Here is a 17,469-nt window from a genome sequence, read left to right as displayed (position 1 = left end):
GAGGCCATCCAATAGTCAGAAATGCAAAAGCCTGAAAAGATAGCCCAAAAGGTCAATCTTAGGTTCTACAATAGTGATGTTATTTACAGGAGTGATTGGGGAAGTTGCAAATCTTACCACCTCTGGTATCATGGCTAGTAAACTAAATTTCTTCCAAAGTTAGCTTCGCCCATGCCCAGGAATGAACCAAGACAGCCAGCCTGTGAGGCCAGAAGCAAGATGGAGTCAGCTATTTCAGATTTCTCTTACTCTCATAATTTTGCAAAGGCAATTTGATAATTACGCACACAGTTTTTTTTTTCTTTCACTTCTATCAAGACCATTCTCTCATGTTATTAAGTATTCTTCTGAAACATAAGTTTTAGGAGTTGCACAATATACATACCATTGTATGAATGTACCATAATTTTTGTATTATAAGACTTTTGGCTGGGTGGGGTGGCTTACACCTGTAATCCCAGCACTCGGGGAGGCTGAGGCGGGCAGATTGCTTGAGCCCAAGGGTTCGATACCAGCCTGGGTGACATGGCAAAACCCTGTCTCTACAAAAAATGCAAAAATTAGCCTGGCGTGATGACATGCACTTGTAGTCCCAGCTACCTGGGAGGCTGAAGTGGGAGGACTGCTTGAGCCCGGGAGTTCTAGGTTACAGTGAGTTATGATCATACCACTGCAATCCAGCTTTGATGACAGAGACCCTGTCAAACAAACAAATAAATAAAAACACTTCTAAGTGGTCTCCAGCTTTTATATTGTAAGTAATGCTGCAGTAAATATAAGTGTCTGCATCTTTGATTATTTTCTTAGGCTGAAATCCCAAAATTAGGACAAAGGTGTTCACTTCTTGCAGATTCCTGATATAAATTCCTTTCCTGGAAGATTATTCAAACACACAATTCCATCAGAGGAATATGAATGATCCTATATCACTGTATCACTCACCAGCATTGAGAATGATAATTTTAATCTTCTTTTTCACCTTAAAAGGTTATTAACATATCATATTATATGTCCATTTTTACTAGTGATTGAACCTGAACTTATAATATGATTAACCTTTATAATTTCCCTTCAATCTTTCTGTCTACAAGAAGAGACTTGTTTTAAAGTGCAGAAAATTTTGTTTTACTCTGAAAAGACCAAATGTGAGTCACCCTGTATTAATTGTATGGTACTGCTACAAGTGAGACAAATTCAATGCCATGCATGAAAAGACAACCTATTAGCATAATAATGGGGACAGAAATAGTATGTTTATTTTAAGTCTTCTAAGAATTCAACTGTATTTTAGCAACTATTGCCAAGGCTTTCTCTACAAAAACCTTTTTTTTGAAGTTCCCAATTAAAAATAAGATACATCAATTTGTTGTAATTCTCTTTATGGGAATGCTGCAGGGGATAAAATAGTTAAGAAAATAGGCACGTAAGGAAAAGTGGGAAAAAAAAAAAAAAGCTAGGATGATTGACAGCTTAGAATATCAGTTAGGACATTGCCAAAATTAGCCAGGCATGGTGGTGCACGCCCGTAGTCCCAGCTACTTGGGAGGCTGAGGCAGGAGGATGGCTTGAGCCAGGGAGGTGGAGGTTGCAGTGAGCCAAGATTGCATCACTGCACTCACTCCAACCTGGGTGACAGAGTGAGACCCTGTCTCAAATAAATAAATAAATAATAAAAAGGAAATATTGTGATTATTCCTATTTTCGTGTTTTGCCTCTAGCAAATAAAAATGGAGTTTGCCAAGTTTTGTGATTTCTTCAGCTTTTATGAATTTATAATGAGTAGCACAATACTAAATTTAATAAAGAAGCTACTAATTTTAGACTATTCATTTAATATACAATATAAAACATTTGAAATTATTTGTTATAAAGAGGTCAAATTTTACCCCCAGAAATGCTTTGTAGATAAAAACAGTCTGTAAACTTTTTAATCTAACAGATTAATATACCATCCACTAACTTTTTTCCAAGAGGAAGATTAAGTTTTAAAAAAAAAAAACTCAGTCCACAGTAAAATGCAATTGGACTGAAGTGTTTCTACATTGTGTAGCTCTCAAATTGGTACACCCAATTAATGAGGATTCTTGATTGTTTGGGGGGTAATTGACCAGAAAGTTTATCAGAAGAACATACATGTAAGTTTCTTAAGAGCATTATCTTTAAAGTATATTTTTATTTATTTCCTTTATTTTCTGTTGACCCTTAGGCTTCAGATTCTCAAGGATCACTTTACTTATTCACTGTATGTTAATGTCTGCCGGTCACTCTTTGAAAAGGATAAGCTGCTCTTTTCCTTTTGTCTAACCATAAATCTACTGCTGCATGAGCGGGCGGTCAGTACTGTTTTCATTTGTAAGAAAAAAACCCTTAATAACGCTGATTCATTAATTTATTAATTTGTATGGGAATATATATAAAAAGATTGTAAATAGTTAAGCAATAATACTGTTTGTTATTATAGTTAAGGCAAGATGTTATCAGGAGGATAAATTTCACAGAAGTGAGATATAAATTAAGCACAGATTTCATTATGTTACTATTAAATTATGTTTTATTTTAAAATAAATTGATTATATTAGATTTTCATACAGCTATGCATATAAATTTACTTAATATTGATACGTTTACACCAGGTAGTAGTGTAAATGTTTTTAAAGACTTGTGCAAATTACTGAAATCTGTGTAAAGTCACTATTTTATACACTTACGTGTTTAAGATTTATGGATTTTATATGGTGATGTATTGGTTGAATTCTGAAGAAATAAATACTTTATTCTTGCATTTCTTGCAAAAGTTGTGTATCAGTAACTCATTATACTTTATGGAAAATAGTCAAAAACATGGCACATTGATGGGTTTCTGCCTTTCTACAATTTCTAGAGCCAATAGGGCTCTAGGCAGTCATTTTGGAAAACACGTATTCGAATAGAACATATTCAGATTTTCACATTTAGACAAGTAATTCTGGAGGAAAATTGTCAAAAAGTAACTATTTGAAATGGAACTATTTTGAAAACTGGTTATCATGAGTATACTGGTTTCCTATGAATAAATATTGAGCTATAACACTAGCTATAGAATTTCATAGAGACCACATCTGAAACTTGGAAGTCAACACTCAACTCTTTTATAATGGTTGTAAGCTTACTAGTTTATGATGAACTCGTTTCTGACTCTTCACGCTGCCTTGTTTTCCAAAGATTAATAAAGCTGAGTGGAGATTTCTGCTAACTGGTGGCATTGGACTGGATAATCCTTATGCCAACCTTTGTACATGGCTTCCTCAGAAATCCTGGGATGAAATATGTCGATTAGATGATTTGCCTGCCTTCAAAACCATTCGTAGAGAGTTTATGCGCTTAAAGGATGGATGGAAGAAAGTATATGATAGTTTGGTATGTTTTAACCCTCTCACTTATTCCAATGTTTTTAAATGGAGAAAAGAATGTTAAGTATCTTTTCATAAAAGCAAGATTTAAATAAGCTTTAAACAACTGGTCACATGTTAGAATGCAAATTTTGATTTATGTTATCCCCCCTTCTAAGTCAGTGGTTCTGTTTGAACTTCCATTCAAACTCCTTGAAATGTATTAAGATGCAAGAATGCTGTGTGGTTCTTGAGAATATACTTGTTGAATTTCCATGCCAGATTTTTATTCATTATCAATGTAGATTTTGGCAATCCTAATAGCAGATGAGTTAAAGTTTATGGAACAGCTGTTGTTTAGATTTTCTGAATGCAGGATACAAGCTGATAAAATTCTGTGTGTGTGTCATTTGAGAAAAGGAAAAAGCTTGTACAGTAGTTCTAAAACAACTTTCACGAGACCTTGTTTTACTAACTGGGGAGTATTATACTTGACACAGACATAATATTCACAGTTTCCCATCTGGGATATATAGCAATTGTTGCTTTCTCTCAATTTTTCTTTAACACAAGGGCTAATATTTTTCCAATTCCCAGTTAATTTTTTCTATTCCTTTGTTTCTACTCTCTTGACTTCCTGCTTTCTGTGAGTTTAATATGCAAGAGCTCTCCTAGGGAGAGGTTGGAGGAAAGAAAGCTAGATATGCAGAGAGTATGTTTTGTTTGGTTAACCTATACTTTATTTTGTTACCTATACAACCTATATTGTTGTATTATATGTGAGAATGAGATTATGTCTTCACACGAATTCAAATATTTGGAAGTGATCTCTTTTGGATTTCTCCTTGTTAGTAATAAAAATGTTTTCTAGAGACAAGTATGTGTTGTGAGTACCTCAACTAATTTAAAATTAAAATTTTATTACTATGCTGAAGCATGAAGATTTCTAATTTGAGATACCACATAGCTTTTCCTAAAGTTTCACAGGTACACGTTTCCTTTTTTCCCCACCAAGGTTTACCCCTTCTGGTACCCTGATGGCTCTCTTCTTGTGATTTTTTAATAGCTCTCAATTGGCTTCTTCATTACACACATTCTCAAGTCTTCCTTTATAAAACAGTATTTTTAAAAAACAAGAAATAATACAATAAATTTCAGTACAATACCCTTTTTACTTGTTTTGAAATATTTATTTATTTTTGTAAATAGATGATGAGGTAAGTGGGTAGGTTTTTAAAAATGTTTTTGTTCCAGCTGGGAGCAGTGGCTCATACCTGTAATCCCAGCACTTTGGGAGGCCAAGACAGGTGGATCACTTGAGGTCAGGAGTTCAAGACTAGCCTGGCCAACATGGTGAAACCCCATCTCTACTAAAAATACAAAAAGTTAGCTGGGTATGGTGGTGCACCACTGTAATCCCAGTTACTCAGGAGGCTGAGGCAGGAGAATTGCTTGAACCCAGGAGGCAGAGGTTGCAGTGAGCCAAGATCACACCACTGTACTCCAGCCTGGGCGACAGAGCAAAACTCCATCTTAAAAAAAGAAAAAAAAAAAGAATGCCTGTGTTTGGAGGAATAAAGGGAAAATAGTAGCATATGCACATTTACTTTTTTCATAATAGGGATCATTTTGTCTGTTTATTAGTGTTCATGTCGACATTAACCTGATTAGTTCATGTCCTTGTTTTGACTCCTTTAAAGAATATTAACTTTTCTTATTATTATTTATTTTATAATGTCCCAACTTTACACTAAATAGTAAAATTTAGACAAGCATTCTTGATTTCATTTATATATTCTAAAAGTTGGTTTATAAGTGAAAATACTGTTCTCTTTATAATCTCCAAAATAACTGAATTATTTACACTGTAATTTTAGGAACCACACCATGAGGTTTTCCCTGAAGAATGGGAAGATAAAGCAAATGAGTTTCAAAGGATGCTTATTATTCGTTGCTTGAGGCCAGACAAGGTAAATGTGGGCTTTGAAAACAGCTCAATGATTCCAAAGCCTTATGCCTGCTCAGTCCATCCAAATGTGCGTTTCCTTATGTAATCATGGGGGAGGTAGAGGAGCCTGCGGGAAATAATCCCACTTCTTTCTAATGCAGACATTTTTTTCAAAAAGTTTGTATATTTTTCTAAAACCATCCTAAATCAGTAACTAGTTGGATTATATTGTATAATTTTATTTATTTTGTGATTATTTGTTTTTAATTTATGGTTTTCAGTACTCACAATCTACTCCCTTTACATATTTGTAGTCTTATCTTTACTGTTAATACTTTGGTGAAATTAGTCAGTGATGTCAACATCAAGCTGATAGACTAGAATCTGTGGACTTCTCAAGTGCTATCCTTATATATAGTTTTTTGTTGGAATTTGAATTTAAGACATTCGTCATTATTGACAACAAAGGAAAATGTCAATATTGTTACTTTTAACTTCTTTAAATAATAAATTATATAACCAGTGAATCAGCAGACCTGTTATATTAGCAAATGTCAGTATTCATTAACATCCTCATTTGTATTAGATAAAAAAATTCACCTATGAATATTGACCGATACCACAAAGATATCAATGTGCTCTAAAAAAAAAAAATAGACATTAGCTATGTTGGAAAAAATTGAGAAAATATCCTAGTTGTCCATTATTACCACTCAAATTAAAGTTTGACATAAATATTTCAAAACTTATATTCAGTTTCATCTGTTAAGGAATAGGAGAAATATCTCCATCCTAACCAAAAGAAAAAAAAATAAAGCAGAATTTAGATTGTCAAAGTAATGTATTAATTTTTTAAAAATACACATCAGTGATAATATGGGTTAGGGGCATTTTTCCCTCTATGAGCCCTACTCTGTTCACTGAACACATGTAATTCTTGCATGATGTGGCAGTCTGTTCTTAGCCAAGGCCCAAGTATCCATTAGGCACAGGAGGCACAGTGCTTGGGAACCAGAATACTTCCAGGGGTCTATGAAAATGTTGTAGTTTCTTTTAAAATCAGAAGAATATAATCCAGTGTGTGTATATTTGTCTTTATACCAACAATGGTAAAATATAATTTTTAATTTTTTTTAAAGGAGAAAGGGGCCTATGAAGTACCTTGGGTCCACGAAAGTCACTCTGCTACCCCACTCTCTTATGCTGGAAGTAACTACAGTAGTTTAGCATTCTTTATGACCCTGGTGAGACATCCTACCCCTTGGTAGCCCTTTTAAAAAATGTAATCTCCATGAAAATGCTAGTGTTAAGCCTCACAAGTTTTCACTTCATATGTTAAAGATGGGAGAATATGAGATGCTTCACACTGTTGTTTAATGTGGCTTCCTCCTCTAAAACATTTTATTAAAATTTTCAGTTTTTCACTTTGTTTTCTAAGCTAGATAAAAACTATTATAATGGCTCTGGATGTACCACTGACCTTCCTCCCTCAATATTAAAAAAAAAAGTTCGTGTTTTATATTAAGTTTAATTAAAAGTGATTAATGAGGCATTTCCTAATTGCAGCAGTTTTGTCTGCAAATATTTTCCCCCAGTTCAATGTTTTTAAAAATTTGACACTTTAATCTGAAAATACATGGAGCTATCAATAAGATGATATATCTCTTTCTACGTTCACTCTCTTTTTAAAGTATATTCGAGGGAGGTGGGAAGTTACATAGTCAAGCTGAGGGGTTTTTTTGGTGGGGGACAGGTTGGTTTGTATGTTTTTTGTTTGTTTTTAAATCATTGGAGGTTAAATTTATGGTTTTATACTTCTTTCAGCTACTTTGCCTAGTACTTTAGCCCTCTGTCTTGTATCATCTTCATATATATTTTAAAATCTCCTCTACAGTTTCCCCATTTTACTTGGATAGATAGATAGATATGTGGACAATACTACTCATCAGTATTTCTGGTTCTTCTCTCCTGTGCACACTTGAAGTGGGAGGATTGTGTCCATACATCTTACTTTGACCAATAAGATGTGAGCAGAAGTGTTAGAGCAGAAGCATTTAACTGCCAGGGTCAGATTCTCTGAGGTGCTCTCCCTGCCATCAAAATAGTGGAATCACATATTGCTGCTATTTAAGCACTATAAGCAGGCTTGACTGCTGAGCCAATGCATGGAGACAGTTGCCTTAAGACTCAGATGACTTTGCAGGAACAAGAAGTAAGTTTTCATGTGTTAAGCCACTGCAGTTTGGAAACTGTTTGCCAGCACAGCTAAACTCAGTCTATCGTGGTGATACAATTAACTAGGTACCATTAGCGACACCTCCACACTCATGTCCTTAATAAAAAAATAATTGTTAGTATGCCGTTATATTATCCAGTAGCTTCAAACCCTTTAATTTTACTGTTACCAGGTGCTCCAATTTCTATTGGTGAAATTATGATTTTGGAATCTATGTATGATAAAATAATACATGGCTATTATGCTTTTAAAAGAATGATTTTCCAAAGAAGAATGGTAGTAGAATACCAGGAAGAAGAGCATTGCTGAATGGGGCTAATATCTGAGCTAGTACTCTATAAGAGTTTATTTCTTTTTCACCTCTAAGAGATAATCTGTATAGCCACAGATATCCAGGAAAATCAGCAATTAATTGCTCTCTAGTTTACTGTATGCTCCATGAGCACAATTTGGGGGGGGTCTCCTTCCCCCCCTCTCCCCTCAAAACCAGCCCCACTCAGTGGTAAGAAGCCACAAATAGCAGGCCCTCTAACGCTCCAGTTTGAAAAAATGTAAGAGTCTCACTAAATCACCAGTAGAAAAAATGAGATGGGCTTGCACTTTCCTTTAGAATTTAATAGTTTATAGTGTTTTATTGACAAAAGAAACATATCAAATAGATAAATACTGAGGTGTGGAATGTTTTGAGTCCATTTACAAAATGAAGAGCTTCTGGCCACAGTTCTGTCCTTCAAAATGGTAAACAAACAGCAAATTAATCAGCTTTCAATAAGAAACTTGTCAAATATAAGTTAATATGTTTCTCTGGCCTCAGATAAATCCAGTAGGAACTTGCAATAAATAGCAAAACATACATAGAAGACCGCAGACTTCTTCCCTGCCTGTGGGAGAATGGTTGCCTAAATTAGTCTGTAAGTTTTGTTACTGACAGATTTCATTTTACAAACCTAACGCTGGCATAATCAGATTGAAGAGGCAAACCCAATTCTGTTGCCTTGCAAACTGAATAGCTAACGCAGGTTCATTTACCTCGGGAGTTACAATTCAGTCTTGGGAGCAAGTTAAGTTTTGTTCAGCTTCGACATTAAGAGTGAAACACTGCAATTTGTCTCTGATCACTCTCAGGTGAGCACCCCTAACTTGATCCTCCAGTGCTAGCAGACAGAAAGAAGAATCACACTCTGCCAGACCCATTTGCCTGTGCAAAGTGACACCAGTTTGAACCACTCACAGAAGTGAGGCCATTTATAATTCAAACTTGCTTCAAGTAAAACCATGCACTTAAAACCCATGTTCTTTTCATTTTGTTTGCAAAACTATAATTTCATGAAGTTAGCCGTGGGAAGAAAGAGATTACGGAAAAAGTGGGGTTTTTTTGTTAATTTTTAAAAAATCTATCGAGAAAAGACCAGCTATAGGAAAATAATAATAAAGAAAAGGGTAAGGCCAAGTCCTGGGACAGACAATTAGGATATTTTTCATCTTCTGACAATAAGTTTGACATCTGTGACCATTCAAAATATCTGAAACATTTATCATATGTGAAATAAGTCAGACACAGAAAGACGAATACTGAATGTTGTCACTTATAAGTGAGAGCTAAATAATGTGTATATCTGGATATAGAGTGTAGAATGACAAACAGAGGAGACTCAGAAGGGTGAAGGGTGTGGCAGGGTGGATGACCAGAGATTACTTAAGGGGTACAATGTACATTATCTGGGTAACGGATACCCTAAAAGCCCTGACCTTACCACAACACAATCTATGCATGTAAAAAATTGCACTTGCACCCTATAAGTTTATACAAAATTTTTGTTTTTTTTTTGTTTTTCCTTTTTGATTTTGTTTTTTTTGTTTTGAGACAGTCTCTTTGTCACCCAGGCTGGAATGCAGTGGCACCATCTCCTCTCAGTGCAACCTCCACCTCCTGGGTTTGAGTGATTCTCATGTCTTGGCCTCCTGAGTAGCTGAGATTACAGACATGCACCACCATGCCCAGCTAATCTTAAAAAAAATTTTTTTGAGATGGAGTTTCGTTCTCGTTGCCTAGGCTGGAGTGCAGTGGCATAATCTCGACTCATTGCAACCTCCACCTCCCGGGTTCAAGTGATTCTTGTGCCTCAGCTTCTCGAGTAGCTGGAATTATAGGCACACGCCACCATACCCATATTTTTAGTAGAGACAGGGTTTCACCATGTTGGCCAGGCTGGTCTTGAACTCCTGCCCTCAGGTGATCCACCCACCTCAGCCTCCCAAAGTGCTGGGATCACAGGTGTGAGCCACCACGCCTGGCTGAAATTTATACAGATTTTAAATAAGAACAAAAAACAAAACCTGAAACATAAAATAACATCTATAAATGAAACTTTATGTGTAGGTGAATTAATTATGTATAGATGAATTAATTATTCTGTGATTTTTAATATTTTTGTAATTAGAACCCCACTTTCACAAAAGTAGGCATCCTGAGCTTTTTATCAATTTAGTCATTCAGTGGATGTTTATTTTGTGCAAACAGTATATATGTCATCCTCATAGGTAGGTCCATGCTATCAGGCATTTATAAATGTGTTGTTGCTCACCTATACATTTTCCATATTTGAATGAATCTAGAGAAATATTGGGAGGGATTAAAAAAATCTGATCCCTAACACACATATTCCTCCATTGGCTCTCAGCTCCCCACCCTAACACACTCAGTCTCTCAGTCACACATGCACTAGGACTGACAGAAGGCATTGTGACATGTCAATTATTTTTACTTACAGATCTTGTATAAATAAATGTTTCATAGACTATAAAATCGAAGTTTGGAAGTATTTGCAATGTTTTACAGAGTAGACCATCGTTTTAAGATACTTGGCACCTGCACATTGCTCCTGCAGTTTGCTTCAAGTTGAGAAAAGTTGCAGGCTGGTGGAATTGTCTACATAGTGCAGTGTGTTGTATATACACACAATTCCATTCTTGTATCTGAGCAGCTATTCAGTCGGGGTGGTGCTGGGGCCTTCAAAAAATCTTTCCATTACTCCTTCTCTTGAGATATCGCTGTTCTCTTCTGAAACTGGTATGCTTTTGTAGCCCCTTGTCTACTAGGAGTTTAATTTTAAACTGTAAGGTAGTGTTCACAATATTCTGTGAAGGGGGAATCTATTCATTTGCAAGAATTTGTGACTAAAAAATGAACAACAAATATTTATGACAATTTTGTGCATATATATATATATATATTTCAGAGCAGGAAAAAAAGTACTTTTGGTAGTTAATAGACGAGAAATTGAAATTAGATAATAGTCTTAGTCTGTTCTGTGTTGCTGTAACAGACAACCTAAGGCTTCGTCACTTATAAAGAAGAGAGATTAGAAACTCATGGTTCTACAGGCTGGAAAGTGCAAGAAGCATGGCATCAGCATCTGCTTGGCTTCTGGTGAGGGCTTTTGTGCAATGTCACAGCATGGCAGAAGGTCGAAGGGGAAGCAGACACCCAAAGGGTGTCTTGACTTTATATCAACTAATTCTTCAATTCATTCCATTTGTTTTGTCAGCACAGAAGTACTGGATATAGGAAAAGAGAAGCATAATAGTAAAGGGAGTACAGATTTGAAAAAACAAAGGAGAAAATTGAAACATGAAACATGAGTGGATTTTTCTCTCCCACATTATTTTCTCCTGTGTTTTGTTCCTAGATTTACTTTTGCCTTTCATTTTGAGGCTTTTTTAATGAGTAAAAATAGGTATCAATTGATTTTTTTCCAGGAAAATAGAATAGCTTTAGGCTGAGTAATTAACAACATTGTTTCAATTTCTGTCGCACTTAATGAAGGTGTCAAAATATTTGTTTGATGTGAGTGAGGCATGAACATGGGAGCCAGGCGACAATGTCTCCTGCTTGACTTTATCAGAAGCATTGCAGATGTGCCCTTGAAAAGTGAAGTAGAAAAAGATCCGTTACATGTTACTAATATAGCATTTAATCCCCTGTTCAGGGAGAAGCATTTTTAGGCCTTCCTTGCTTTGCTATATATTGAATTTTCTTTTTTGCATAAAAGACAACCAAGCCGAATTAACAATATCATGTTAGAGTATTGAAATACCAAATAACTTCTTTAAAGTAGCTACTTTAGAGTAATAAATGTATACCTTTTATCACACATCCACTTGCCGTGATTGGAATTTATATTCACTTTGAAAATAGCAGCTACAAATATACATATGGACAACATGATGAACACAATTTGTTTAATTATTGGTGTACTTTGAGTTTGTCCCCACCAAAGCTCACCTTGAAATTTAGTCCCAAATGTGGCGGTGTTGGGAGGAGAGGCCTAATGGGAGGTGTGAGGGTCATGAGAGTAGATCCCTTATAAATGGCTTGGTGTAGACCCTTTGTCAGAAAGCAGGAATGATGTACCCGAGGCTGTACATCAGTCATACTGAATGCAATTCCACCCCCAAATCAAGGCCTGAAAAGGACCAATTAACAGAGACACCAAGCTGCAGAGTTCTGCTGTTTCTCAAACAGGCTCCCAGAAAATTCTCAGACAATGCTATCAGAAATTCTACACAACATAGTTTTGTCTGGTTTCTTGGGTGTGTGGCTTGTTTCTCTTGAATAGAGCTCTTCCTTTCCTTCTTCTTTTCCACAGTGACATCAATTCTTTCTGGATGATGTGGGAAATTTTGCACAACTTAAACTAAAATTTCTACTTTTGAGTTGTGAATTTTTGAAACATAATTAGTGTTTTATAACTTAAGAGTTCAGGTTCCTTCTTCAGCCACTATGCCTTGAACATTCATTTCAAGGGGACAAAAAAAGTCTTTGAATGTTTGTATCAATTACCACTAATCTTTTATTATCTAAATATTTTATAATATTTCCTATCTAAAAGGCATTTATATAAACATTGATGCCTTGGACTCCCCACCATTAATGAATACCTAAACTAATAGAGCTAGGGTATTTTGTTTTAAAACTCCTTTGAATCTAAATTTTTAATGGTTTTAGGCAGATTTTGAATATTCTTCCAACTATATCCTTGTCTCTTTCTAGGTTATTCCAATGTTGCAGGAATTTATAATCAACAGATTGGGACGTGCATTCATTGAACCACCCCCCTTTGATTTAGCCAAGGCATTTGGAGACAGTAACTGCTGTGCACCACTGATTTTCGTGCTCTCTCCTGGAGCAGATCCCATGGCTGCCCTTCTAAAATTTGCTGATGACCAGGTACCTTACAATAGATGAAGTTATCGGATATTATTTTAAAAAAGCAATACTTGCTTATAATTGAAATTTTAAGGATGAGGGAAAGGTAGAAATTTGTCATTCAACCTTTGAAAGTTATCACAAGTTGACAGAATCCCAAGAAAATGATACTAAAATGGCAGCACTGACACTAAAAAAGAACTCCTTATCCAAATTAAAATTTAATTAAAACTAGAATTGGGATTTAAGTGGCATTTACTTTTATTTGGGGTTGGGGGACAGGAAACTCTTTGACATTATTTGCACCAGTGTATGAACTTGGGTTGATTTAATGAATTCAAGCCTGGACAGTGACCTCAGGGGTGCACCTTTTCTGATCCCACCCCTCTGCCACTCTCTAACGGGGGGCCTTCATTGACTTTCCAGAACAATTGTACGTTGTGGTCACTGTATTAGATTAAAATATGTTCTGGCCAGGCACGGTGGCTCACACCTGTAATCCCAACACTTTGGGAGGCCGAGGCGGGCAGATCACGAGGTCAGGACATCGAGACCATCCTGGCCAACACGGTGAAACCCCGTCTCTACTAAAAATACAAAAAAAAATTAGCTGGGCGTGGTTGCAGACGCCTGTAGTCCCAGCTACTCGGGAGGCTGAGGCAGGAGAATGGCGTGAACCCAGGAGGCTGAGCTTGCAGTGAGCCGAGATCACGCCATAGCACTCCAGCCTGGGCGACAGAGTGAGACTCCATCTCAAGAAAAAAAAAAAAAAAAAAAAATTCTACTATTTACATGCCTTGTCTTTAAAAATTAATTCAAATGAATTCAGTACAAATGTTCTTACATCATATGGTCTAGAACAAGAAAATAATAATAAACAGATGATTGGGCATTTCCTGAGTTGAATTTTTTCGATTTGGTACAATTAAAATAACACAGTGTGGTAATGCTACTGATATTTCTAAAGCCACCACCACCACTTGTATTGAGTGCTTAATGTATACTGTTGACTTTGCTAGACCTTGTTACATACATGTTCTACAACTCCATAAGGTAGATGGTGGTATCTCTATTATACAGATAGGAACACTAAAGCATGGACAGGTTAAGTATCTCCTCAAAGGCCATGTAGCTGAGAGGTTAAAAAAAATTTACTAGGCCAAAAAAAATTGATATAAGGCATAGAAAAAAATTTAAGAAGACTTTTAACATAAGGAGGAAATAAAAAGGACTGGCTGCCTTGCAGCAGCTCCTAAAACCTAAAGCTGAAAAGAAAACTATAAATAGGTGAACTTGTCCTATTTCCTCCAGATTTTTGAATTATGTATTTTTGCATGAGTGTAATTCTCATATGCAGAAGAATAGATAGCTTAGCATAGTACTTATTATTTGTTGAAGAAGCATTGGAATGTGGCTGTGGTGATTGGAGGAGATGAGGTCTGAGATGTGTGAAGGACCAGATCATGTAGGGTCTCTGGAGGCCACATTAAGGACATTGAGTAAGATGGGAAGATGGAGGAGTAGGGTTTTAAGCAACAAACTGACATGATCTGACCTATAATTTATAAAGTTCATCCTAGTTGGAGCCTGAAGAATTTATTTGGGTGGTGCAGAATAGAAGGAGGCCCCTAGTAAGGGCGTTGGCTATTGAAAGTCCAGGAAGAGCAATGGTGGGTAGGAGTAGAGTGGGAATGGTGGAAGTGTTCACTTCTACGAAGGACTCACCTCCTAGTCAACACAAGCTTGACGACCCTTTGAGCCCCTCCTAGTTGCTTTTATATCTCTCCTCACACTGTACATATGATTATTCTCTGGCTCCTATGTGGGTCCTGCTCATGCATTCTCTTCTCTTGCTGTCTCCTCTTCTTCCAGAAACAGCAGGATCCAGCTCTACTTTGTTTTCTGCTGCCTCTACCAGCTAGTGACAATAAGCCATGGGCATTCGGGAGGGGCTGAGACCCCACTCTTCCGTATCCAGGCCTCTTCTAAAGGGGCAGTCTAGTGATAACTACCCCAGAAAGGAGACCCAGAAGCCAGGGACGAATTAGAATACAGTAAAACTGAATATAGGAAAACATTCCCACAGAATTCTCTAAAGAAACTGACATGGGAATCAGTGGCAATTTTAAAAATTCTCTTTTATACAGTAGCCAAAGTAACTAAAATATAGTTATTCAAAGATATGGAGGAAACAGGACAAGTTCATCTGTCTCTTTTTAGTTTTCTTTTCAGATTTGGATTTTAGGAGTTGCTGCAAGACTGCCAGTGCCTTTCATCTCCTCCTTATGTTAAAAGTCTATTTAATTTATTCTTTCTATCCCTTCTATCAACAACCAAAGACTCTACAGAATTTTCCATTTATTGCCATGACTATTTCCTACGTGAATTGACTTGCTTTTTATCGAAGTGTTTATAAGATTCTTTGTCAAAGAGAGTTTTTTAGGGATGCATGTGTTTGGCTTTTTGAGACATGTGACCCAATTAAGTTGTAATATAGTCAATGTTAACTTTTAAAAAAACAATATTGATGTTTCTTAAAATGTGATTTTAAATAACATCTCTACTATTCTTGTACACAGGGATATGGGGGATCAAAACTTAGCTCTTTATCTCTTGGTCAAGGCCAAGGGCCCATTGCTATGAAGATGTTAGAAAAAGCTGTCAAGGAAGGAACATGGGTTGTTCTTCAGAATTGTCACCTTGCCACCTCTTGGATGCCAACCCTTGAGAAAGTCTGTGAGGTAAAAATGCAAGTTTATACTTATTAGATTGCATTCCCTGGATCTAATTAGTAATATACATAACATTCGGGTAGCTCCATTCCCCTCTAATTTGGAGCGTTGCAGGTTAGTGCTTTGGCTGGATTGCAGGAGAGAGAGGCTCACATTGAAAACCAGATCTGGAGGAACAGAGGCGAGCACATAGCCAGGCCTGGGCAAATCCCTCTTAACAGGGACAAGGGCTCATCCAGTGAGATGGAAATATCCTCAATCCTGAGGAGCAGGCTGAAGGAGGAGAGTAAACCACAGGGTAGATATACATCAACTTACTTTTTATAACAATGGCCTAAAGCAACCAAGGAGGACTGTTCAAGGTGAAATTCATGTGGCCACTCTCAACTCAAAGGCTTCAGAATGTCACTTTTCTTTAACTTACTTCTCTCCCACTTGGCCAGTTACCCTGCCACAGTAGAGAAATCTGAAACCCAAAGGGCACTGTTCCCACCCACCTTGCAGTGGGTCGTGGGACTTCCCTGTTCTGGTTGGCAGAAATTCCAGGAAAAAAACTCCATGTAGCTCAACTGAGTAAACAGAAAGCCTGGCACTTGATCTCAACAAACAGAGAAAATGAATCCTCTGGAATTACCCATGACTCTAGCCCACTCCTAACTCCCTTCTAAATAACCATGGTGATGATAGAACTTGCACCATCCACCCATCTGGCTTTGTTTTTTCTTTACGTCACTTAGCGCCAGTTTGTTCTGGCCGTGTCTCCCACTAGAATGTAAGCATCATGAAGACAGTGACTTTGTCTTTATCTGTTGTATTCTCTGCTTTCCCTCCAGCACCTTGAACAGTGAGGCCCATAGGATACAATCAAGCAATATCTTCACTGCCTGACACTTTTCAATGGCCTCCCAAGGCATGCAAGACAAAGTTCAAACCCCCAACATGACCTACAGCACTCTTCAGAACCTGACCTTTGCCTACTTCTCAAGTTTCTTCTCAGGCCACTTTCATCATGACTTCCATGCTCTAGCCTTTTGAACTTCTTTCACTTTTATTGGTGCAGCACACTTTCTCAAGAGTATACGTCATCATAGTTGATGTAATTTCTGCCTGAAAAACTATTCTTTTTATCATTTGCCTTACAACATTTCCTCATACTTCACGCCTTATATCAGAGGTGTTTGTTGTTGTTGTTGTTGTGGTTTTGAGATGAAGTCTCAATCTGTCACCCGGGCTGGAGTGCAGTGGCACGATCTTGGCTCACTGCAACCTCCGCCCCCTGGGTTCAAGCGATTCTGGTGCCTCCGCCTCCCGAGTAGCTAGGATTACAGGCACCTGCCACCATGGCCGGCTAAATTTTTGTATTTTTAGTAGAGACAGCGTTTCACCATGTTGGCCAGGCTGGTCTCGAACTCTTGAGCTCAGGTGATCTGCCTGCCTTGGCCTCCCAAAGTGCTGGGATTACAGGCGTGAGCCATCATGCCTGGCCTATCAGAGGTTTTATGTTTGTGCCTGTCTGCTTATGGTTCATCTGTCTCCAGACTGAGACTGTTCTCATGACCTGTTGAATTGTATCATATATACCCATCACAGAGTCCTGTAAGAGAGAAATCTGTCCCTGACTTATCTGAGTGCCTTGTTTATTCTCACAACCTGGCTACAGCAAGAGAAATGGATTAGTCTTTAATCTAGCTCTGGGGCAGAGAATTATTTCTGTAAATATTTCAGCAACATCAGTGCACATACAAGAGTTTTGGGAACGTCTTAGTTATTTTAACCAACTCTAAATTATATAGCACTTTTGTAAACTTTATAATCATATGAATTAATGTTACCAAGGAGAATGACAACACCTTGGGCCTTCTCAACAAGGTGTTATTGTTTTAGGAGCAGCATCAGATTTTAAAGCTTTTGCTGAAAATTGCAGCAGTTACATTTCTACTTTGTAAAAATACTTCCTCCCCCTTCCAACTCATCCT

General features: G+C 37.1%; 1 protein-coding gene across 6 annotated transcripts in view; it reads left to right on the top strand.

The window, feature by feature from the left end:
• DNAH7 (dynein axonemal heavy chain 7) overlaps positions 1 to 17,469 on the top strand; it is a 331,135-nt gene that overhangs the window by 256,760 nt on the left and 56,906 nt on the right. For all 6 annotated transcript variants that reach the window (XM_011511488.4, XM_017004504.3, XM_011511490.4 and 3 more), the window contains 5 exons: positions 2,207 to 2,333; positions 3,202 to 3,396; positions 5,246 to 5,338; positions 12,606 to 12,782; positions 15,341 to 15,502. In XM_011511488.4, coding sequence (XP_011509790.1) covers positions 2,207 to 2,333; positions 3,202 to 3,396; positions 5,246 to 5,338; positions 12,606 to 12,782; positions 15,341 to 15,502 — 754 coding nt within the window. The remainder of the gene's footprint in view (positions 1 to 2,206; positions 2,334 to 3,201; positions 3,397 to 5,245; positions 5,339 to 12,605; positions 12,783 to 15,340; positions 15,503 to 17,469) is intronic.

The sequence above is a fragment of the Homo sapiens genome, chromosome 2 (assembly GCF_000001405.40).
Source record: "Homo sapiens chromosome 2, GRCh38.p14 Primary Assembly".
Classification (NCBI taxonomy): Eukaryota; Metazoa; Chordata; class Mammalia; order Primates; family Hominidae; genus Homo; species Homo sapiens.
This window is presented reverse-complemented; position numbering and strand designations above follow the sequence as displayed.